General features: G+C 47.6%; 1 long non-coding RNA gene across 2 annotated transcripts, besides 1 other annotated feature; it reads left to right on the forward strand.

Annotated features, from left to right (window-relative positions):
• Positions 8,981-9,802: an enhancer, noted in NCBI's record as "NANOG-H3K27ac-H3K4me1 hESC enhancer chr1:6774349-6775170 (GRCh37/hg19 assembly coordinates)". NCBI's record gives its function as "activates a minimal SCP1, AML or CMV promoter by ChIP-STARR-seq in primed H9 embryonic stem cells {active_cell/tissue: H9 hESC(primed)}" and the evidence as "EXISTENCE:reporter gene assay evidence [ECO:0000049][PMID:30033119]".
• LINC01672 (long intergenic non-protein coding RNA 1672) lies at positions 19,437-24,704 on the forward strand. Of its 2 annotated transcripts, none has more exons than NR_104620.1 (2): positions 19,437-19,542; positions 24,412-24,704. It is a non-coding gene; the product is annotated as a long intergenic non-protein coding RNA 1672 (long non-coding RNA). The 2 variants fall into 2 exon arrangements; NR_104621.1 differs by lacking the exon at positions 19,437-19,542 and adding an exon at positions 22,219-22,304.
• The last annotated feature ends 776 nt before the right edge of the window (positions 24,705-25,480 follow it).

Here is a 25,480-nt window from a genome sequence, read left to right on the forward strand (position 1 = left end):
GGATTACAGGCATGTGCCACCACGCCCAGCTAATTTTTGTATTTTTAGTAAAGACAGGGTTTTGCCATGTTGGACAGGCTGGTCTTGAACTCCTGACCTCAAGTGATCTGATCACCTTGGCCACCCAAAGTGCTGGGATTACAGGTGTGAGCCACTGCACCCAGCCAATTTTTTTTTTTTAAGGTGGAGTCTCACTCTGTCTCTCAGGCTGGAGTGCAGTGGCACAGTCTTGGCTCACTGCAACCTTGGCTTCCTGGGTTCAAGCGATTCTCCTGCCTCTACCTCCCAAGTAGCTGGGATTACAGGCGCCTGCCACCATGCCCAGCTAATTTTTGTATTTTTAGTAGAGATGGGGGTTTCGCCATGTTAGCCAGGCTGGTCTCAAACCCCTGACCTCAGGTGATCCGCCTGCCTCGGCCTCCCAAAGTGCTGGGATTACAGGCTTGAGCTAGCATACCCGGCCCCATCTTTAAATAGTAAACATAAGAATATTTACCTCCACCATGATTCATATGCAGAATGACCCCAAAACATTTTGGCTTCCAGCACAGCTACTCTGTGTAGCCGCTCAGGAAGGTTTCTCTGTTAATGGCTCAGTCCAGTTCTGGGACCCTCCCTATAGCACTGGAGGTAGGTTGCCAGATGAAATACACTATGCTCAGCTATATTTGCATTTTAGATGAACAATGAAGAATTTTTTAGTATAAGTATACCAAGGACTGGGTGCAGTGGCTCATGCCTGTAATCACATCACTTTGGGAGGCCAAGGTGGTCAGATCTCTTGAGCCCAGGAGTTCAAGACAAGCCTGGGCCACATGGTGAAACCCCCAACTCTACACAAAATGCAAAAATTAGCCAGGCATGGTAGCACATGCTTTTGGTCCCAGCCACTTGGGAGGCTGAGATGGGAGGATCACCAGAGCCCGGGGAGGTCGAGGCTGCAGTGAGCTGTGATAATGCCACTGCACTCCAGCCTGGGTGACAGATTGAGACCCTGTCTCAAAAAAAAAACAAAACATATATATATATATACATACACACACACACACACACACACATCACATTGTATGGGGATGTATACATATACTAAATAACTACTTTTCTGGGAATCCTGCTTTATTTTTTTATTTTATTTTATTTTTTTGAGATGGAGTCTTGCTCTGTTGCCCTGTCTGGAGTGCAGCGGCATGATCTTGGCTCACTGCAACCTCCGCCTCCTAGGTTTAAGCAATTCTGGTGATCAGCCCACCTTGGCCTCCCAAAGTGCTGGGATTACAGGCGTGAGCCACCATACTGGCCAGAATCCTGTATTTTGATTTGTAACCCCAGCTGGAGGCCTTGCAGCCCTTCCCCCTTTTCCTGAGTAACGCTCCTGAGAGCAGAGGTGGGCAGCCTGCCCCACCCCTTCTATAGCCAGGCTGAATCCACACCCTCTCTATAATTCAGGAGGAAAAATTACCTATAATCTTTTTATTACTCCTTTGTCACTGAGTCCAGACTGGGATTTACTGCATGCTTGCCATTCATAGCCTGCCCGTCCTCTCCCTCATGAGCTCTGACAACCCTGCTAAAGGAGATAGGGAAAAAAGATCCTTTGCTTAAGGAAAGAAGGGGAACTTTGCCAGCATTCAATAATTAAATTTTCTTGATGTTATCTTCTTTCTGAGTATTCACTGACTAGTCTTTAGCCAAGATGATCATTACAGAAGGGTCGGGATACCCCGGGGGAAGAGCCACACCTGCCTCTTTGGAGATAGCCGCCCAGAGAGGCTGAGAATCTAACGCCACTCAGCATTTTACCTGCAATGTCATTCTTCCGTTGTGCCTGTGGGACTGGTTTTCACTGCTTGGGACTTTAGGTCCTTAGTCTCTATGTATTGATCTATCAAAATCCATCAGATCTCTTAGGGGTACCCCATTCCAGTCTGCTTTCTTGGCCGTTTCAGTGATACAGTCCTTTGTCCTTTGGCTCTGCCCAAAATTTATGTTGTCTCTGTTGTCAACCTTTCTATTCTCACCCAGGCTGTCAAGAGTAGGTGGAGAAAGTCTTGGAAAATACAGAGTTCGTGCTATCTAACTTCAACTGTACTGCAGTGTTACCTGGCAATCTTTTCATTTTCATCTCATATTAATAGCCTATACATTCCCCCCACCCTAGTGTCTATTCCTCTTATCCTTAAGTCTGAAGACAGAGTCCTGAAATGGGCACTAGAGTCTCAGCAATTCACAAGAGAGAAATGGGTGCTGTGCTAGTGAAAGTAACACTCAAGGCCGGGCGCCACATGAACACTCAGCGTGGCACGGGGCAGGTGCAGAAAAGAAACAAATTAGTGAATACACAAGATAATTTGAGATGATCAGTGTGTAAGTAAAATACAACATAGTGATGTAATGGTGGAACATCTCCGGTGCAGGAAAGGTACTCCACATTGGTTGGTCTGGGAAGATCTATCCCAGGAGGTGATTTTGAACTGAATGATGGGAAGGACCCAGCTTTGCAAGACCCAGCTTTGCAAGGGGGAAGAATCTCCAGGGCAAAGCCTTTGAGGCAGGAACAGGTTTGGTGTGCAGGACCAGGGAGAGAGCAGGTGAGCGCAGAGCTGACGAAGGTGGGAGAGTGATAGGAAAGGAGGTTAGAGAAGCCACACCAGGGCGGTATCACCAGGGGCCTTAAACATGGTGCTCAGCAATTGAAATTTCATTCTGGCCACAATGGGGAACCACTGAAGGATTCTAAGCAGGGAAATGACATGGTCTGATTTTTGTCCTACCTGAATGATCTCTCCAGGGAGATTGGATTCAAAGGAGCAAGAATGGAGGCATCCCCTCACCCCTACCCCATCAGAGGCTATTGCAGTGTTCCAAGGAACAGATGACGGTGGCCTTGGACTTAGACTCAGTCAGGAGCAATGGGAATGGTCACACATGGACCACACATTGGATTGGAGGCAACAGGAATTACTGATTGATTGGGCTTGGGGAATAAAGAAAAGAGAAGAATTGGTGGTTACTTCTATATTTTGGCTTGAGTTACTAGGTAGTAAGGCTGTTTGTGGAGCTGAGGAAGACTGGGGAAGAGGCAGGCTGGGGAGGGGAGTGACCAAGGGTCCTATTTTGTAGAAGTAGAGTTTGGTCTTTGTTGGACTTCTAAGTGGAAGCACCTACTGCTTCTCCTTCCTTTACCACTCACTCTTGGTGTTTTTTTTTTTTTTTTGAGACAGAGTCTTGCTCTGTCGCCCAGGCTGGAGTGCAGTGGTGCAATCTTGGCTCACTGTAACCTCCGACTCCTGGGTTCAAGCGATTCTCCTGCCTCAGCCTCCCACCATAACTAGATAATTTTTGTATTTTTAGTAGAGATGGGGTTTTACCATGTTGGCCAGGCTATTCTCGAATTCCTGACCTCAGGTGATCCCCCCGCCTCAGCCTCCCAAAGTGCTGGGATTACAGACGTGAGCCACCATGCCTGGCCACCACTCATTCTTGAATTCTTTGCTCATCCCATCATTTCATGAATATCACCTTCTCAAAGTTTCCTATTACTTCTTGAACCCAGTGGCCTTGTTTTCTTGCCATCTGCCTGGATTAGGCATTATTTAACAATATCACCTGACTTCTCTTCATTGTAACCTCTCTGTCCTTGGCTGGTGAGCTTTCTCTCTCTCTCTCTCTCTCTCTCTCTCTCTCTCTCTCTCTTTTTTAAGGAGATGGGGTCTCATTCTGTCACCCAGGCTGGAGTGCAGTGGTGTCATAATAACTCACTGTAGCCTTAAACTTCTGGGTTGACGTGATCTTCCCGCCTCAGCCTCTCCAGTTGCTGGGATTATAAGCATAAACCACCATGCTTGGCCTCTCTTAACTTTAATATTTCTCCAGATATGCTCCCCTTTCTTCTTCCTCCTGCCTGGGATTTAGGACCCTTGTTGATCTCGGTTCACATATTTTCAGCCTTATACCCTCCGGCTTTCCTTTATAGATCTTTGGTTCTAGTCAGAAAAATATATCGCTTATTCTCTGAACACTCCTTGAACGTCTTAGTTCTTCATTCTTTGCTGCGTCTCTGAGCTTCCATGTGGAGGTCATTGATCTTCAGCCCAAAAAACACCCTATGGAATTTCTCTGAGTTGGGGGGGCCTGCTCTTGGAGAACTCTCTCAGCTTCCGCTAATCTGAAAATGTCTTTTTCTTATTTTCATTAATAAAGGATACTTTCTCTGGGTAGAAAATTTGTTTTAGCAGTTATTTTGTCTTCCAGCACTTTGGTGATATCATTTCTCTTCCTTTAGGTTCTGTTAGAGCTATTGAATTCTTTCTTCTCATTTTGGGACTCCAAAAAAACACGGTAGACCTTTCAAGCATGTCATATCTGCTTTTTATTATTTCTTCTGTATCTTGCTTCTTTTTATTTCTATGGCTTCTTTGTGGATAGTTACCTCTGACCAATCTTCCACTTCACCAATTCGCTTGTTTTCCTAATTTTTTTTTTTTTTTTTTTTACTGCTTTATTGGTATAAAATGTGTCAACCGCCGGGTGCAGTGGCTCACGCCTGTAATCCCAGCATTTTGGGGGGCCGAGGCAGGTGGATCACTTGAGGTCAGGAGTTTGAGACCAGCCTGGCCAACATGGCGAAACCCCGTCTCTACTAAAAATACAAAAATTAGCTGGGCATGGTGGGGGGTGTTTGTAATCCCAGCTACTCGGGAGGCTGAGGGATGAGAATCACTTGAACCCAGGAGGCGGAGGTTGCAGTGAGCTGACATCATGCCACCGCACTCTAGCCTTGGTGATGGAGTGAGACTCTGTCTCAAAAAAAGAAAAAGAAAAACAAAAGTGTCAACCTAAAAAACAAAGAGAGAGAAGTTCTCCGAAAGAAAAAGGTATTGTTTGGGAATAGAGCATTGCAGTGGAAATATGCATGCCATGGTAAACTATGTGCATATTCAGACAGGAAGACACATTGTTTACAGGAAAAAATAAGGAAGAGATGGGGTGCAGTGGCTCACGCCTGTAATCCCAGCACTTTGGGAGGCCGAGGTGGGCGGATCTCCTGAGGTCAAGAGTTTGAGACCAGCCTAGCTAACATGGTGAAACCTTGTCTCTACTGAAAATTCAAAAAAAATTAGCTGGGTGTGGTGGTGTGCACCTGTAGTCCCAGCTACTTGGGGAGGCTGAGGCAGGAGAATCACTTTAACCCAGGAGGTGGAGTTTGCAGTGAGCCAAGATCGTGCCACTGCACTCCAGCCTGGTGACAGAGGGAGACTCCATCTCAAAAAAAAAAAAAAAAAAAAAAAGAGAAAGATTACATAATTGTTTTGAAATAATTATCCTTGCTACAAAGATCAGTAACAAGGGTGGCACCAGTCTGAGGTTGGACAGGCAATTGCCGAGCAGATGTCCTTGCAGAAGTATTTTTTGTGTAAGGTTGGGATGGCTGTTGCACTAGGTTGTGTTTTTTGCAACATTTGTGATAGTGTTTTATGAGGCATACAAGCATGAGAACCCTCTCTTCAGGACCTTCTCTGACTCATTTATCAGGGTTGGCCTTTTATTGTTGTTTTTTATTTTTTATTGATTCTGACAACTTGATTCTGATTTAAGGTGCAATAAAATGCATATATTTAAAGTGAACAATTTTATGAGTTTTGACACATGTACACCCATGAATCCATTAATATAATTAAAATAATGGACATTTCCAGCACACTCAAAAGTTTCCTCATGCTCCCTTATAATCTATTCCTCCCTTCACCCCCATGTCCAGGCAACCACTGGTCTACTATCTATTATTATAGACTAGTTGCATTTTCTAGAATTTTATATATGGAATCATATGGCTTGCTCCAATCCTGTATCTTCTCTATACCATCATTGTAGGATAACCCTTTTTCTCTCTCCAGTATTGGCATCCCTGTTTCCTGAATGCTCTGTTTCCTATTCTTTTGTCTGTTTTATTCCATTGTTTTGATCAACCAAGTCTTCTCACAATTTTTTGAGAACTTGGATATTTTTATTCCACCTGTATATTTGATAGTTTGATAGGTAGATTGTGTGGCTGGGTATAAAAGTCTAGATTGCAAAAATGTTTCCACAGACTTTTGAAGACATTATTATACCACCTTCAATTTCCCAGTATTGTTAGCACTAAGACTGATTCTGTCCTAGGCTTTGTAACTGTAATTTTCTTTCTTTGGAAGCATTGCTTTCATTCTTGGTGTTCTGAAATTCCATGTGATGTACTTTGGATGGGCGTTTTCTTGTTGTTGTTGTTGTTGTTGTTTTTGAGGCAGAGTCTCTCTCTGTCACCCAGGCTGGAGTGCAGTGGTGCGATCTTGGCTCACTGTAACCTCTACCTCCTGATTCAAGCGATTCTCCTGCATCAGCCTCCCGAGTAGCTGGGATTACAGGCGTCTGCCACCATGCCAGCCTAATTTTTGTAGTTTTAGTAGAGACGGGGTTTCACCACATTGGCCAGGCTGGTGTTGAACTCCTTACCTCTGGTGATCTGCCTGCCTTGGCCTCCCAAATTGCTGGGATTACAGGTGTGAGCCACTGCGCCCAGCCATGTTTTGGTCTTTTTTTGCGGGGCGGACTTCCCTCAGAGCTCTAGTAGTCTTTGGCTGTCTATTCATCGCAGCTCCATGTGCATGTTTGAAGCTATTCTTCTGGTGAGTGTCATGAAGAGTCATTAGGTCAGGTCCCCAGATGTTAGATCTGTAGATTTTCTTCCCCCTTGGGTGGATCAGTTTTATTTATTTATTATTATTATTTTTTGAGATGGAGTCTCGCTCTGTCACCCAGGCTGGAGTGCAGTGGCGCAATCTCGGCTCACTGCAAGCTCTGCCTCCCGAGTTCACGCCATTCTCCTGCCTCAGCCTCCCAGTAGCTGGGACCACAGGCGCCCACCACCATGCCCGGCTAATTTTTCATATTTTTAGTAGAGGCAGGGTTTCACCGTGTTAGCAAGGATGGTCTCGAGCTCCTGACCTCATGATCCACCCGCCTTGATCTCCCAAAGTGCTGGGATTACAGGCGTGAGCCACCGCGCCCGGCCGATGGATCAGTTTTCCCAGAGAGTTTTCCTCCTTTCTCCTGCCTGGGGAAGGTAAAAGCCCTGCAGGGGAAGGATCTGGGAATAGCATCTCAGTACCCAAATGTTCACAAAATTCCCTTTTTTGGAACAATATCTGGTGTCTAGCTATGTTTTGATATTGAGGCTCCAAAGTCTTCCTTTGGAGTTAATAAACTTCCCTTAGTGGTGGAGGTGGTGTAGTTGCATGGCTGCGTGGGCTGGGAAAGGAGATCTGGGGTTCTTATCTATTCTTTTTAAAGACTATCATCAACACTGCTGCTCAGCCTCCGATTCCTGACCACTCCTGGGTCCCGCAGCACAAACCAGCTTACTTTCCAGGTGGCACGGGCCCCTCCATTTTACATCTTCCAAAATTTCATTGATGTCTTTTGTCTGATATCATCTTCTCTTCCATTCCTTTTGTCCATAAGCATTTATAAATGTTTCTTTTTTTTAAAATTTTACTGAGATTTCTGGAGGGAACAAATGTAAGCTCTGGCATGAGTTTTCATCAGGAATAATGAAAGTCCCTTTGTACAACATAATATTATGCCACTTGTCCATTTGTACAACTTATATTTCATTTCCAAATTTCCTTCATTTAGAAATTTATTGGCCGGGCGCGGTAGCTCATGCCTGTATTCCCAGCACTCTGGGAGGCCGAGGCGGGCGGATCACTAGGTCAGGAGATCGAGACCATCCTGGCTAAAATGGTGAAACCCTGTCTCTACTAAAAATACAAAAAAATTAGCCGGGCGTGGTGGCGGGCGCCTGTAGTCCCAGCTACTCGGGAGGCTGAGGCAGGAGAATGGCGTGAACCCGGGAGGAGGAGCTTGCAGTGAGCTGAGATTGTGCCACTGCACTCCAGCCTGGGCAACAGAGCGAGACTCCGTCTCAAAAAAAAAAAAAGAAATTTATTTCTGGACCGGGCGTGGTGGCTCACACCTGTAATCCCAGCACTTTGGAAGGCTAAGGTGGTGGATCACCTGAGGTCAGGAGTTTGTGACCAGCCTGGCCAACATGGCGAAACCCCATCTCTACTAAAAATACAAAAATTACCCAGGCATGTTGGCGGGCGCCTGTAATCCCAGCTACTTGGGAGGCTGAGGCAGGAGAATTCCTTGAACCTGGGAGGCAGAGGCTGCAGTGAGCTGAGATTGTGCCACTGTACTCCAGCCAGAGACAAAGTGAGAACTTGTCTCAAAAAAACAAAAACAAAAACAAACAAAAAACTAAATTTAATTTCTCATTAGTCTGTAAACACCTTGAGAAAAGTGGTTGAAATATTTCTATTTCCAGCAGCATTGTGTGCCTAGCATACAATCAGTTCTTCGCGCATGTACCTGAAGGAATGTATTTAATGTACATAGTTCCCCCTCATCCACAGTTTCACCCTCTCAGGTTTCGGTTACCCATGATCAACTGCAGTTTGAAAACATTAAATGAGCCAAGCATGGTGGCTCATGCCTGTAATTCCAGCACTTTGGAAGGTTGAGGTAAGTGGATCCCTTGAGTCCAAGAGTTCAAGAGTGGCCTGGGTAACATGGCAAAACCTCGTCTCTGCAAAAAATACGAAAATTAGCCGGGTGTGGTGGCATGCGCTTGTCATCTCAGCTGCTTGGGGGGCTTAGGTGGGAGGATGGCTTATGCCCAGGAGATGGAGGCTGCAGTGAGCTCTGATGGTACCACTGCCCTCCAGCCTGGGCAATGGAGTGAGACCTCGTCTTAAAGAAAAGAAAAGAAATATATATTAAATGTGAAATTCTAGAAATAATCCATGAGTCTTTTGTTTTGTTTTGTTTTGAGACGGAGTCTTGCTGTGTCGCCCAGGCTGGAGTGTAGTGGCACGATCTCAGCTCACTGCAAGCTCCGCCTCCCGGGTTCACACCATTCTCCTGCCTCAGCCTCCTGAGTAGCTGGGACTACAGATGCCTGCCACCATGCCTGGCTAATTTTTTGTATTTTTAGTAGAGACGGGGTTTCACCATGTTAGCCAGGATGGTCGCAATCTCCTGACCTTGTGATCCGCCCACCTCGGCCTCCCAAAGTGCTGGGATTACAGGCGTGAGCCACCGCGCCCGGCCGAAATAATCCATGAGTTTTTTTTTTTAATTTAATTTAATTTTATTATTATTATTATTATTTTTTTTTTATTGATCATTCTTGGGTGTTTCTCGCAGAAGGGGATTTGGCAGGGTCACAGGACAATAGTGGAGGGAAGGTCAGCAGATAAACAAGTGAACAAAGGTCTCTGGTTTTCCTAGGCAGAGGACCCTGCGGCCTTCCGCAGTGTTTGTGTCCCTGGGTACTTGAGATTAGGGAGTGGTGATGACTCTTAAGGAGCATGCTGCCTTCAAGCATCTGTTTAACAAAGCACATCTTGCACCACCCTTAATCCATTCAACCCTGAGTGGATACAGCACATGTTTCAGAGAGCACAGGGTTGGGGGTAAGGTCACCGATCAACAGGATCCCAAGGCAGAAGAATTTTTCTCAGTACAGAACAAAATGAAAAGTCTCCCACGTCTACCTCTTTCTACACAGACACGGCAACCATCCGATTTCTCAATCTTTTCCCCACCTTTCCCCTCTTTCTATTCTACAAAACCGCCATTGTCATCATGGCCTGTTCTCAATGAGCTGTTGGGTACACCTCCCAGACGGGGTGGTGGCCGGGCAGAGGGCTCCTCACTTCCCAGTAGGCGCGGCCGGGCAGAGGCGCCCCTCACCTCCCGACGGGGCGGCTGGCCGGACGGGGGCTGACCCCCCCCACCTCCCTCCTGGACGGGGTGGCTGGCCGGGCAGAGGGGCTCCTCACTTCCCAGTAGGGGCGGCCGGGCAGAGGCGCCCCTCACCTCCCGGACAGGGCAGCTGGCCGGGCGGGGGGCTGACCCCCCCACCTCCCTCCCTCCCAGACAGGGCGGTTGGCCGGGCGAGGGGCTGACCCCCCCACCTCCCTCCCGGACGGGGCGGCTGGCCGGGTGGGGGGCTGACCCCCTCACCTCCCTCCCGGACGGAGCGGCTGGCCGGGCAGAGGGGCTCCTCAGTTCCCAGTAGGGGCGGCCGGGCAGAGGCGCCCCTCACCTGCCGGACGGGGCGGCTGGCCGGGCGGGGGGCTGACCCCCCCCACCTCCCTCCTGGACGAGGTGGCTGCCAGGCGGAGACGCTCCTCACTTCTCAGACGGGGCGGCTGCCGGGCGGAGGGACTCCTCACTTCTCAGACGGGGCATCCGGGCAGAGATGCTCCTCACATCCCGGACGGGGCGGCAGGGCAGAGGTGCTCCCCACATCTCAGACGATGGGCGGCCGGGCAGAGACGCTCCTCACTTCCCAGATGTGATGGCGGCCGGGAAGAGGCGCTCCTCACTTCCTAGATGGGATGGCCGCCGGGCAGAGACGCTCCTCACTTTCCAGACTGGGCAGCCAGGCAGAGGGGCTCCTCACATCCCAGACAATGGGCGGCCAGGCGGAGACGCTCCTCACTTCCCAGACGGGGTGGGGGCCGGGCAGAGGCTGCAATCTCGGCACTTTGGGAGGCCAAGGCAGGCTGCTGGGAGGTGGAGGTTGTAGCGGGCCGAGATCACGCCACTGCACTCCAGCCTGGGCACCATTGAGCATTGAGTGAACGAGACTCCGTCTGCAATCCTGGCACCTCGGGAGGCCGAGGCTGGCGGATCACTCGCGGTTAGGAGCTGGAGACCAGCCCGGCCAACACAGCGAATCCCCGTCACCACCAAAAAAATACGAAAACCAGTCAGGCGTGGCGGCGCGTGCCTGCAATCACAGGCACTCCGCAAGCTGAGGCAGGAGAATCAGGCAGGGAGGTTGCAGTGAGCCGAGATGGCAGCAGTACCATCCAGCTTCGGCTCAGCATCAGAGGGAGACCGTGGAAAGAGAGGGAGAGGGAGACCGTGGGGAGAGGGAGAGGGAGAGGGAGACCGTGGGGAGAGGGAGAGGGGATAATCCATGAGTTTTAAGCTGTGCACCATTCTGGGCAGCGTGATGAGATCTCTCGCTGTAAGCTTGATCCCGTCTGCAACGTGAATCCTCCCTTTGTCCAGCGCATCCAGGCTCTACCTGCTGGTTAGTCACTTAGCCATCTTGGTTGTCAGAGCTACTGTCATGGTATCACCGTGTTTGTGTTCAAGAAACCCTTGTAGTACTTAACATTGGCCCCAACTTGCAAGAGTAGTGATGCTGGCACATTGTTATAATTGTCCTATTTATTATTACTTATTGTTAATTGCTTACTGTGCCTAATATATAAATTAAACTTTATCATAGGCATGTAGTCTGTAGGAAAAAACAATATACATAGGGATGGGTACTATCTGAGGCTTCAGGCATCCGCTGGGGATCTTGGAACATATCCCCTGTGAATAAGAGGGGACTACTGTATGCTAAAACGGGGAGGAGAGAAAGAGCTGGAAACAAAAAAATGATGGAAGTGGAGAAGCCAGGAGATGTTTTCATTCACTGATAGGCAGAGGAACAGAGTTCAGATTTGAGTACCAAGGACCCCCCAGGAGCAGAACATTGCCAAGGAAAGCCCTAAGTCCCTCTTCCTGAACTGGGGTAGATCAGCCTTCTCCTCAGCATCGCTGATCTCGGGAAGCACATGGCTCTGCCATTTGGTAAGCTTCGTGTCTTAGTCCGTTTGGGCTGCCATAACCAAAGACTATAGATTGGGTGGCTTCAACAACAGACATTTATTCCTCACAGTTCTGGAGGCTGGACAACTCCAAGACCATGGCGCTGGCAGATGTGGTGTCTGGTGAGGGCTGGCTTTTTGGTTTACGTCTGTCTTCTGTTTCCTCATATGGCAGAAGGGCTGAGGTACCTCTCCAGGGCCCCTTTTATTTATTTATTTTTTAATTTTTATTTTTAGTGACTGGGTCTTGCTCTGTCACCCAGGCTGGAGTGCAGTGGCATGATCATAGCTAACTGCAGCCTCCAAATCCTGGGCTCAAGCAATCCTCCCACCTCAGCCTCTCAAGTAGCTGGGACTACAGGCGTGCACTACCATGCCCAGATAATTTTAAAAAATATTTTGTGGCTGGGCGTGGTGGCTCACGCCTGTAATCCCAGCACTTTGGGAGGCCGAGGTGGGCGGAATACATGAGGTCAGGAGTTCGAGACCAGCCTGGCCAACATAGTGAAACCTCGCCTCTACTAAAAATATGAAAATTAGCCGGCCATGGTGGCGGGCACCTGTAATCCCAGCTACTCAGGAAGCTTGAGCCCAGGAATTTGAGACCAGCCTGAGTAACATAGTGAGACCCCATCTCTACAAAAAATGTTTAAAAATTAGCCGGGTGTGGTGGCACATGCCTGTAGTCCCAGCTACTTGGGAGGCTGAGGTGAGACGATCGCTTGAGTCCTGGAGGTTGAGGCTACAGTGGGCTGTGGTGGCACCATTGCACTCCAGCCTGGGTGACAAAACAAGACTCTGTCTCAAAAAAAAAAAAACAAACAAACAAAAAACCTTCTGGGTTTTTGTTGGTCGGTTTGTGTTTTGTTTTGTTTCAATTTGTTTTTCTGTGAGTATTTTATCTTATGAAAATATTGAGAGTCCTTGGGGTGGAAAATGGAGGTGTTCTTGTCTAATGGGTATAGGGTTTCAGTTTTGCAAGATGAGAGTTCTGGATATTGATTTCACAACAATGTGAATGTACTTAGTGTTACTGAACTGTACACTTAAAAATGGTTAAGATGGTAAGTTTTATGTGTATTATGATTAAAAAATATATATATATATGGAGCCTTGACCCCTTGACTTTGGGTGGCTTTTTAATCCAGATACTTTGCTTCTATTTTTATTGTCATCTGGAAAGCCAAGCTGTAAGCAGAAATGCTACTGGTTAGTAAGAGATAGAAAGTTCTGGAACTCAGCAGAGTCACCATTGCTTAGTGCCATACCTGTTCACAGTGCTCACAGCTGGCATTACTAAATGAGTTTTCAACTTTAGAGAAGCACAGCTTTGATTGTATACAGTGGCTGGCCAAGGACTCAGGTCTTCAGTGTTAAAGCTGAAGACGCTTCTCGTGAGGCCGGGAGAGGGTTCCCAATCTCAGCACTATTGACATTTTGGGCTGGATAAGTCCTTGTTGTAGGAACTGATCTATGCATTGAAGGCTATTTAGCAGCATGCCTGGCTTCTACTCATCAGATTCTAGCAGCACCAGTCCCCGGGTGTGGCAGCCAAAAAATGTCTCCAGACATTGCCAAAACCCCCTGGGCACACAAAATTGCCCCTGGTTGAGGACCACAGGTGATGAAGCTGTCGGTCTCAATACACACTTCTCTTCTCCAACACTGGCTTTTCCTACTGCGCCACTGTGAGCAAAGATTTCTAGCTTCTAGAATAAAATGAATTGAAAGAGAAAAATATTTAAGCTAACATTTAAAGCAAGCTTGTCCAACCCGTGGCCCGTGGGTTGCATGCAGCCCAGGACGATTTTGAATGTGGTCCAACACAAATTTGTAAACTTTCTTAAAACATTATGAGATGTCTTTGCTTTTTTTTTGACGGAATCTCACTCTGTTGCCCAGGCTGGAGTGCAGTGGCATGATCTTGGCTCACTGCAATCTCTGCCTCCTGGGTTCAAGTGATGCTCCTGCCTTAGCCTCCTGAATAGCTGGGACTACAGGCATGTGCCACCACGCCCGGCTAATTTTTGTATTTTTAGTAGAGATGGGGTTTCACCATCTTGGCCAGGCTGGTCTTGAACTCCTGACCTCAGGTAATCTGCCTGCCTCGGCCTCCCAAAGTGCTGGGATTACAGCTGTAAATTACGGTGCCTGGCCTTTTTTTTTTTTTTGCTGAAGCACATCAGCTATTGTTAGTGTTTAGTATATTTTATGTGTGGCCCAAGACAATCCTAACAATGTGGCCCAGGGAAGCCAAAAGACGGGACACCCCTGATTTAAAGAATGCTTACAATGTGCCAGATACTGCACTGTGCTACCTGATTAATGATCTCATTTAATCTTTTCAACAATTATCTGATGTAATTATAGACAGCCTCATTTTACAGTTGAGGAAACTGGGGTTTAGAGAAGTTGAATAACAGTGCGAAGTGGCTTATGCCTGTAATCCCAGCACTTTCGGAGGCTGAGATGGACAGATCGCTCAAGCCCAGGAGTTTGAGACAAGTCTGGGAAACATGGCAAAACCCCGTCTCTACAAAAAATACAAACTTAGCCAGGCGTGGTGGTGCTTGTGTGTAGTCTCAGCTACTTGGGAGGCTGAGATGGGAGGATCCCTTGAGCTCAGGAGGCGGAGGTTGCAGTAAGCTGAGATCGCCCCACTGCACTCCAGCCTAGGAAGCAGAGTTCAGACCGTGTCTCAAAAAAAAAAAAAAAAAAAAAAAAAAAAGAGGTTGAGTACTCGTTCCAGCTCACGGAGCTAGTAAATAGAAAGACCAGGATTCAGACTCAGGTTTGTATCTTTCAATGACTGTTTTTATGTTTCCTTGGTTTATTTATGTTTTCTCTTTGAGATTAACTTATATGATGATGTTTCAGAGGACTTTTAGCCATAGGTGTGATAACACCAGCTTGATTTTAGAATTCCCTGGGATATGCGGCGTGTAGATGTTATCTGTGACCCATGAAGGTAGAGAATGTTTTATCGGCCACTCAACAGCTCTGACTCTTAAGATAAAGTCTCTATGAGTTAGGAGGTAAGTACATTACTGCCTACATCACTGCCCCTCTGGGAAAAATGTCGGTTAAGGGGCCACAGCACTGGTCCCCTTCCCAGTTGTAATAATGCTTGCATGTCCCTTAACCAGCAGAGGGCAGACTTGTGGTCCCAATGAACAGAAGCGTACAAAGAGACTGCACTTGAAGGTTTAGAATAGGAAGGGGGATGTTTCAGGAAAATGGCGCCCCCATCACCTGCTTGTGCAGAAGCAGGGCTGTTTTGTGGACAATGTGTTTGATTCTCTGGTTCTTTTCTCTTTTTCTTTTCATTTTTTTTTTTTTTTTTTTTTGAGACAGAATTTTGCTTTTGTTGCCCAAGCTAGAGTGCAATGGCGCAATCTTGGCTCACTGCAACCTCCGCCTCCCGGGTTCAAGCAATTCTCCAGCCTCAGCCTCCCTAGTCGCTGGGATTACAGGCGTGCACCACCGCGTCTGGCTAATTTTTTTTTGAGACAGAGTCTCACACTGTCATCCGGGCTGGAGTGCAATGGCGTGATCTTGGCTCGCTGCAACCTCTGCCTCCCGGGTTCAAGCGATTCTTCTGCCTCAGCCTCTCGAGTAGCTGGGATCACAGGTGCCCGCCACCACGCCTGGCTAATTTTATGTATTTTCAGTAGAGACGGGGTTTCACTATGTTGGCCAGGCTGGTCTTGAACTCCTGACCTTGTGATCCACCTGCTTCAGCCTCCCAAAGTACTGGGATTACAGGCGTGAGCCACCGTGCCCGGCCCTGGCTATGTTTTTTGTATTTTTTTTTTTAAAGTAGAAACAGGGTTTCACCATGTTAGCCAGGCTGGTCTTGAACTCCTGACCTCAGGTGATCTGTCCGCCTCAGCCTCCCAAAGTGCTGGGATTACAGGCATGAGCCACCACGCCTGGCCTCTCTGGTTCTTTTCAAAAGTGCACGACCTCCTTCCAGAAGGCTCACAATAAGTGGGCATACCACCTTAGTTCTGTTTTCCCAGTCCTGGTTTATCTTTTTGTATTTTTTTATTTTGAGACAGTGTCTCTGTCACTCTGTCAGGCTGGAGTGCAATGGTGTGATCTTGGCTCACTGTAGCCTCCACCTCCTGGGCTCAAGCAATCCTCCCATCTCAGCCTCCTGAGTAGCTGGGACTACAGGCACATGCCTCCACGCCTGGCTAATTTTTGCATTTTGTGTGGAGACAAGGTCTTGCTATGTTGGCCAGGCTGGTCTCAAACTCCTAGGCTCAAGCCATCCGCCTGCCTTGGCCACCCAAATTGCTGGGATTACAGGCATGGGCCACCACGCCCGGGCCTAGTCTTGGTTTTTCATTGTGAAGATGATCCTGGGCCTGAAAGTATTCCAGGAGCAAAGCCTGTTTCTGCCATGCGGGACACCATCAAGGAGAGGGTTTTCCTCTGCACCCTCCTTTTTGGTAGGTTCTCAGGGGTTCAGTGCCATGACTGCGAAGTCAGACCATGTGTTCAGGCCCCAGCATGCTACAGGAGGCCCCAGCACGCTACTGGAAGCAGGATGCTGGATCTAGAAGGTGATGGATGTATTAACATGAGGAAAGTCACTCACGTTTTTACCTCATGTAAAAGGAAATTACCAAGAGAATCTGCAGCCAAAATCCTGTCCAGACTGAAACTCTGATGAACTTACCCAAATCTTCCCTTTCCCAGGCTTTCCTGCATGACAGTTCCAGGAAGATTCAACAAAAGCCACGGCTTCTCTGAGTTTGTTGTTTCCTGGAGAAACAAGCTTTCACCTGCCACCTGGCCCTCTGTAGCTGCTTATAAATACAGATGTGGGTGGCAGAGTCATGCCAATCATGATAAGCTGTTCATACAGAGGCTTTTCACTCACTGTCCGTGTTACCAACAGTATCTTAGTAGAGTCAAGAGTTTTGTTTTTAAATTTTTTAATTTTTAAATAAAGATGAGGTCTCACTAGGTTGCTGCAGCTGGTCTTGAACTCCTGGCCTTAAGTGATCCTCTCCCACCTCGGGCCTCCCATGTTACTGGGATTACAGGTGTGAGCCACCACACCCAGCCTCAAGCATTTTCTTTCTTTTTTAAAATTTATTTTTATTATTTATTTATTTATTTTTTGAGACGGAGTCTCGCTCTGTGGCCCAGGCTGGAGTGCAGTGGCACGATCTTGGCTCACTGCAACCTCTGCCTCCTGGGTTCAAGCAATTCTCCTGCCTCAGTCTCCTGTGTAGCTGGGATTACAGGCACACACCACAACACCCAGATAATTTTTGTATTTTTAATAGAGATGGGGTTTTGTCATGTTGGCCAGGCTGGTTTCGAACTCCTGACCTCAGGTGATCCACCTGCCTTGGCCTCCCGAAGTGCTGGGATTACAGGCTTGAGCCACAGTGCCCGGCCTCTTTTTTTTTTTTAATTATAGAGACGGGTTCTCACCATGTTGTCCAGGCTGACCTCGAACTTCTGAGCTCAAGTAATCCACCTGCCTCAGCCTCTATAAATGCTGGGACTTATAGGCATGAGCCATTGTGCCTGGCCTCCTTCAAGCATTTTCAAAATTTCTTCTGAATAGGAGTGGTGGAGGGCTGTGTTGGAGCATTTCTCTTCTACCTCGTCTGTCCTCCTCACTCTCAGGTATGTCTGATTATATTGAAAGTTTAAGGTTGTTGCTAAGCCTAGTATGGTGGTCATTGGGGAGAATCCCAAGAACGTCACAGGTGCTGTTTCTTCAATGAAGGCAGAGGGGAGTTCTCACTCCAAGCAATGAGCTTACTCTAGAAACAGCCTATCTGTTGGATTCCTGCATTTCATATGAGGTTTGAGTAACTAGTTCCTTGCAAACAATATGAAAAGACAAAAGTTTCAAGGTTTAGAATCACCATGGCAACGCCCCAGATTCCCTGCCGTGCCCAGGTCTTGGAGTGGTAGGAACTGCTCATGCAATTTTTCCGAAATTGGCCAAAGCTTCAAGACCTACGGGGTTTCCCATTTGGTGCTCAGAATGTGAATTTTTTTTTTTTTTTTTTTTTTTTTGAGACAGAATCTTGCTCTGTCGCCCAGGCTGGAGTGCAGTGGCACGATCTTGGCTCACTGCAACCTCCGCCTCCTGGGTTCAAGCAATTCTCCTGCCTCAGCCTCCTGAGTAGCTGGGATTACAGGCGTGTGCCACCACGCCCGGCTAATTTTTTTTGTATTTTTAGTAGAGACAGGGTTTCACCGTGTTAGCCAGGAAGGTCTCCTGACCTCGTGATCTGCCACCTCAGCCTCCCAAAATGGAATGTGAATTTTTATAGTTGCCACGGCAAAGTCTCCTGTTATATGGGTATAGTGGGTTGAATCGTGGCTCCCAAAAGTGATGTCCAAGTCCTAACCCCCAGAACATGAGAAAGGGACCGTATTTCGAGAATGGGTCTTTGCAGATGTAATGAAGGATCTTGATATCATTCTGGATTGAGGATGGACTCTAGCTCCACTGACAGGTGTCCTTATGAGAAAAAGGTAGAGGCAGATTTGAGACACAGACACAGGGGAGACGGCCATGAGAAGACAGAGGCAGAGATTGGAGTGAAGCAACCACAGGCCAACAAGTCACCGATACCAGAAGAAGCAAGGAAGGAGTCTGTCCTACAGTCTTCAAAGGGAGCGTGGATCTACTGACACCCAGATTTTGGACTTCTGACCTCCAGAGCGGTAAGAAAATAAATTTCTATTGTTTTAGGCTACCAAGTTTATTACAGCAGGCTCAGGAAACTAATACTCTAGGTGACGTCTGCTCCTCCACCCCATGCCTCTGCATGCTTGGGTTACAACAGAGAGTGCTTTCCCCTTGGTTGAACAACACTTTTTTTCTTGAGAAAAGAAAACATAAGGGTAAAGCAGTTTTTGGAAGGGTTACTCAGCCAGCTAGATCGTCAGAATCAACTCTGGTAGGAGTGGGCCACAAACATCCATCCTAGGGCATCCGGAGAGAGTCATTCTCCCTAACAATAGCTCTGGGCATGGCTCTGTATTCGTCTGTTCTTGCATTGCTATAAAGAACTACCTGAGACTGGGTCATTTATAAAGAAAAGAGGTTAAATTGGCTCACGGTTCCACAGGCTGTACAGGAAGCATGGTTGGGAGGCCTCAGGAAACTTACAATCATGGCGGAAGGTGGAGGGCAAGCAGACACGTCCCACGTGACTGGAGCAGGAGGAAAAGAGAGCGAAGGGGGAGGTGCTGCACACTTTCAAACAACCAGATCTCACGAGAACTCACTCACTATCACGAGAACAGCAAGGGGGAAGTTTGCCCCCATGATCCAATCACCTCCCGCCAGGCCCATCTTCCAACATTGGGGATTATAATTTGACATGAGATTCGGGCAGGGCCACAAATCCAAACCGTATCAGGCTCCACATTTTGTTTCTTTGTTTTTTTTTTTCCCTGTCCTTCCCTCTACCTGAAGCTCATTTGAAAGCAAGTTTCCATTGCTGCTATTCCTTCCTTACTTTGGTCAGAATCCTCTTTTTGTGGTATCATAAATGGTTTCCATGGAAACAAAAGGTTAGGATAGAACAGTGCCAATGTGCATGTAAACTTCAGAATTAAACAAGGGCTGTTGTTTTTGCCTGTCATGGAGTTCCGTTCATTCTGAACATGTCACCGGGGACTTTGGAATGTGTATCCATAACTCCCTGATTTTCAACCACATTCCAGCCTGCCTGACTCATGAAGCGTGGAGCGACCCAGGAACATCCCAGCTCCTCATGTCCCACATTCTTCAGGCTTTCTCTTAGTTTTGGCATGTGCATGTAAATGTCAACAGGTGAGGTGAGATTTGCTGTAAAGAAGCAGATGGTCCCACAGGGTAGGCTGTGGGAGAGATGGAAGTTCTAGCAGGAGATATCACAGCCAAAGACTAGCAATCTAGGCTTATCATTTGTTTAGTGCGTCAGAACCAGTGAGTCGAGGAGGAAAGGAGACCCAAGGCTATGTGGTTGCCCTCACGACTGGGAGTTTACATTTGCTTCCTGCCAGAACCAAGGACATAGCGACCGATGTGCACAGACTTCTCCAAGGTTGTTTAGTCATTGGCAAAAACAGGCCTTCACCCATCCTTGAACTGGGTCCAAGTAACTGAGATGTGCCTGTAGTGGAGGAGCGCAGGTGGAGGTTCTGAGTCCCTGAAGCTCTGCATCTTTACTTTACAAGAGATGCTGCCTGGGAGTTCTTACTTCAGAGTAAGAGGGGTGGCCATGTTATCACCCAGACTAGAACACTTTCCAGAGTGAGAAGAGCCGCTATTAATTATAGGGCAATGGCTAGAATCTGGTCTGTCCCTGGAGAAGAGGGACATCTGACAACCCTATCTTTATTTTATTTTTTTAGATGGAGTCTCGCTCTGTCACGCAGGCTGGAGCACAGTGGTGTGATCTTGGCTCACTGCAACCTCTGTCTCCTGGGTTGAACTGATTCTCCCGCCTCAGCCTCTCAAGTAGCTGGGACTACAGGCGCCCGCCACCAGGCCTGGCTAATATTTGTATTTTTGTAGAGATGGGGGTTTCACCATGTTAGCCAGGCTGGTCTCGAACTCCTGACCTCAGGTGATCTACCCGCCTCGGCCCCTCAAAGTGCTGGGATTACAGGCGTGAGCCATCACGCCCAGCTGGCTATAACCCTATCTTTAGGCCAACTTGTACCCGGCTCCACTATGGAACTCAGTGTCGAAGTGCCCGGGCTTCCTGCCCTGGTTCTGGAGATGGGTGGTGGCAATGGCTGCACAACAGTGTGAAGGTAGTAATGGCCACAGAACTGTGCCCTTCACAGTGGCTAAAAGAGCACATTTTATGTTATGTCTGTTGCACCCCAATGAAAACAAATAGCAAACGTTCTGATATTCCCTCCAAACCAGCTGCTTCTGCTGACTCCTCGTCTCAATTAATCGCGGCTCTGTCTTCCGTTTGCTGAAGCCGAAGACCTCCCCGCTCTCTCAGAGCCCATGTCTGGCACATCAGCGAATCTCGTTGGCACTGCCGTCAAACACATCCATCTAGGATCTCCCCGCACTTCACGCCACCCACCGCGCTAGTCTGTGGATCCCTGTTTCTCTCTTGGATGTAGTAATAGTCACATAGCTGGACTTCTGCCCTGGCACTTCTTCAGCCCCTTGTTAGAGGAATCCTGCTAAATGTTGGATGATTTACCCCCCACCTCCCGCACCCCCCGCCACACACACATAGGAGCTCCACTGGCTCCTCATAACTCTCAGGGTGCCAGCCTGTCTCTGCCATGACCCGAAAGCTCTCCGTCATCTGTCTCCCGCCCCTCCCTCACTGACTCTATCTGCCACCCTCTCCCTGTTGTCCACGCTGCCCCAGCCCCACAGGCCTCCTCCTGTTCCTCAGACTCCCCAGGGATACTCCTGCCTCAGGGCCTTTGCCCTGGCTATTCCCTCCAGCTACAATGCTCTTCCTGAATCTGCATGATTCGATGCCCACTCCCCCATTCTCAGCCTGTCCCCACATCTCAGTGAGCCCTGCCCGGGCCACCCTGGAAAATCTCAGCATCCCAGGCTGGGCGTGGTGGCTCATGCCTGTAATCTCAGCACCTTGGGAGGCCAAGGCAGGCAGATTGCTTGAGCTCAGGAGTTTGAGACCAGCCTGGCCAACATGGCGAAACCCCATCTCTCCTAAAAATACAAAAATTAGCTGAGTGTGGTGGTGCGTGCCTGTAATCACAGCTACTTGGGAGGCTGAGGCAGCAGAATCGATTGAACCTGGGAGGCAGAGGTTTCAGTGAGCCGAGATCATGCCACTGCACTCCAGCCTGGGCGACAGAGCGAGACTCCATCTAACACACACAAAAAAAGCACTTTTTTTTCATCCTCCCAGCACTTCTTGTCCTCCTTGCTTCCCTTGTTTTTTTTTTTTTTCACATTCACACATATGATGATCCAGCATTCTACATATTTTATTTATCTTATTTATTTTCAGTCTTCTCCACTCAAATGTATGATATTTAAGGCAGGGGTTTTAAAATGTCTTGTTCTTGGCCAGGCATGGTGGCTCACACGTGTAATTCTAGCACTTTGGGAGGCCGAGGCAGGTGGAGCACCTGAGGTCAGGAGTTCAAGACCAGCCTGGTCAACATGGCGAAACCCCGTCTCTACTAAAAATACGAAATTAGCCAGGCGTGGTGGCGGACGCCTGTAATCCCAGCTATAATCCCAGCTACTCAGGAGGCTGAAGCAGGAGAATCGCTTGAACCTGGGAGGCAGAGCTTGCAGTGAGCCGAGATCACGCCACTACACTGCAGCCTGGGTGACAGAGTGAGACTCCATCTCAAAAAACAACAACAAAATAAATAAATAAATAAAAATAAAATGTCTTGTTCTCTTTTTTCCTCCAGTGCCCAGATCAGCGCCTGATATATACTTGGCACACAATAACCACTCTTGAAATTCATGAAGGAATCTGGACATTTAGGGGGTTCACAGAATCCGCCGCTTTTAGGGAAGATTCTCTGCCTGATGTGTGAGCGCTCTAACCTCTTCATCTGTGTTCAGTCCCCTTGCAATGCTTCTCTAAGGTCGGCCTACATTTCACTTAATTCAGTGGCTCTCCACTGGGGGCGCTCTTCCCCTTGCAGGGGACATTTGGCAATAAATGAATAAATGGGGACATTTTTGGTTCTTACAAGGGAGGGGAGAGGTGCTACTGGCATCTAGCGGGTAGAGGCCTGAGATCCTGCTATTAATAAATACCCTATGTCATGCTCTGGAAAGCTTCCCATAACAAAAAATTGCCTGGACAGATGTCAACTGTGCCGAGGCTGAGAACCCCGATCTACACTGATCATATTAGGAATGATCTGGTCTGCATTTAATATGAGGGAAGTCTTTTGAGGGCTGTTATGGGTTGAATTGGGTCCCCCAGTTCTTATGTTGAAGGCAAGTCCTATGCCCAGGACCTCAGAATGTGCCTGTATTTGGAGATAGGGCCTTTGAAATAATTTAATTGAAATCATTAGGTTGGGCACGGTGGCTCATGCCTGTAGTCCCAGCTACTCAGGAGGCTGAGGCAGGAGAATCACTTAAACCTGGGAGGTAGAGGTTGCAGTGAGCCAAGATCGCACCACTGCACTCCGGCCTGGGCCACAAGAATGAAATGTTGTCTCAAAAAAAAAAAAAAAAAAAAAAAGAAATCATTAGGGTGGGTCCTAATCCAATACGACTGGTGTCTTTTTTTTTTCTTTTGAGATAGAGTCTCGCTCTGTGGCCAGGCTGGAGTGCAGTGGCGTGATCTCGGCTCACTGCAACCTCTGCCTCCCGGGTTCAAGCGTTTTTCCTGCCTCAGCCTCCCAAGTAGCTGGGACTACAGGCACCCGTCAACACGCCCAGCTAATTTTTGTATTTTTAGTAGAGATGGGGTTTCACCATGTTGGCCAGGATGGTCTTGATCTCTTGACCTCATGATGCTCCCGCCTTGGCCTCCTAAAGTGCTGGGATTACAGGCGTGAGCCACCGTGCCCGGCCTTGGTGTCCTTTTAAAGAGGGGAAATTCGGACACAGGTGCACACAGAGGGAAGATGATATGAAGACACAGGGAGGAGACGGCCACCTTTTGGGCGTGATGATGCGTCTGCAAGTCGAGGGATGTCGAGGCAACCTCTGCAAGCTGCAAAGACAAGGAAGGATCCTCCCTTACAGCCACCAGGGAAAGCATGGCCTTGGGGATGCCTGGGTTTAGATTTCAAGCCTCCAGAACCACGAGAGAATATATATATGTTCTGTCATATATATATATATATGTGTGTGTGTATATATATGAGATGTATATATATGTCTGTGTATATATACATATATACGTATATATACACACATATATACGTGTATATATACATATATATGTATATATATACACACATATATACGTGTATATATACGTATATACGTATATATATACACACATATATACGTGTATATATATACACACATATATACGTGTATATATATACACATATATATCATATATATATATATATGTATATATCAGTCTCTGTCACCCAGGCTGGAGTAGAGTGGCATGATCCTGGCTCATTGCAGCCTTGACCTCCTGGGCTCAAGCAATGCTCCCACCTCAGCCTCCCAAGTAGCAGGGACTACAGGCACATATGCTATGCCTGTAATTTTTTTCGTGTGTATTTTTTTTTGTATTTTTCTTGGAGATGGGGGTTTCACTATGTTGCCCGGACTCAAACTCCTAGCCTCAAGTGATCCTCCCGCCTTGGCCTCCCAAAGTGCTGGGATTACAGGCATGAACCAATGTGCCCCACTGAGATTTCTGTTGTTTTAAGCCACACAGACTTTGGTACTTGGTTAGGGCAGCTGGAGCAAACTAATGCCAGGGCAGAGCCAGTGCTAAATCCAAACTTGATACTAACGGGCTCTATACCCTGTGATGATTAAGGTGTCTTGGAAAAAGAAAGGGTCTTACCAGGACAGTGGTTAGATACTCCCGTGGCAGGAGAGGCCAGAATGTGTAGTCTGTCGGCCATCATGAGGCTCATGACCTAGAGCTGGCCAAGAACACTTGTATAATAAATGTTCAAAGCCACCAGTCACCAAAGCCTTTCATGGGTAAATGACCCCAGCACAAAGTGTTTTTTGCTGATATTAACTTTGGTTCTATTTCAGATCAATAAAGGCAAAAACCAGGAGATCCCATAAATCCCGCTGAGCCTGTCATAGCTATCAAATTATACCCAGATAAAGCTTCTGGTGGCTAATGACATGGCCATCACCCAGCGTGGACGTGGGCAGGAGGGGCTCTCCGGGAGCATCTGGTCTGCTGTGGAGACACTTGTCATCTGGAGGCTCTGTGGCTCTAATGGAGGGTGATGCTTTGAACGCGACTATCTCCCCCATAAAAAAATAAATAAATAATAAGTATAATTTAAAAATAAACAAAGATCTGGATTTGCAGGCTACTTACTGTCGCAGGACCAAGATTAATGGCCAGTGGTAAGTTTTCGTGAAGATCTTCTGTAGCCCGATTAGCCGTGCTGGGAATCCGGAGAGATAATGTCTTTTCACATATAAAAGATCCTATTGATTTCCTGTTAGTATCATCCTGAAAATGTGCAGTGTATATCTATGAAGCAGAGACAATCTTCCATCACTTGTTTTATGGGAAGAGAATGGTTATTGTATCTCTTCCCATAAAATATAATCTCTTTTTCTCTTCCAAAATCTACTCGTCCCTCTGGGAATTTCCACTTGTAATCTGTGGAAGTGAATTGATTTTTTTATTTTGTTTTATTTTTTGCATGTGCCGGTATTTTTATATTTGGCTTCTCTACATTTTCTCATTGTTCTCTGGAGTCTGGCTTTTCTAGATTGTTATTTGAGGTTGTCTAAAAATAAGTAAAAAAAAAAAAAAATCAGTCCCATTGAAACACGCACAGCCATGTGCCCGACAGTGGGTGTCAGGTTCCTGTGACTGCTCCCACTGCGGTGCCCCACCTTTCTCCCCCGTCGGGGCCTGGCGTTTGTAAGTTCCTCAGAGGGCTTCGGAGGCAGTAAGAGGTTGCCTGGTGGGTTCCAATAGGATGCCGATGCAAAATACCAAGTTACTGAATGAAGGAAGTGCTCTTCCTGCTGACTGGGGTTCTCAGCGTTATGTCTGGGCATTGCTTCAGGATCAATTAAGACGCAAGGGCAGAGTCCTACATATTTAAATACTGTGCCCTGAGCAGCGGCTTCC

The sequence above is a fragment of the Homo sapiens genome, chromosome 1 (assembly GCF_000001405.40).
Source record: "Homo sapiens chromosome 1, GRCh38.p14 Primary Assembly".
Lineage (NCBI taxonomy): Eukaryota > Metazoa > Chordata > Mammalia > Primates > Hominidae > Homo > Homo sapiens.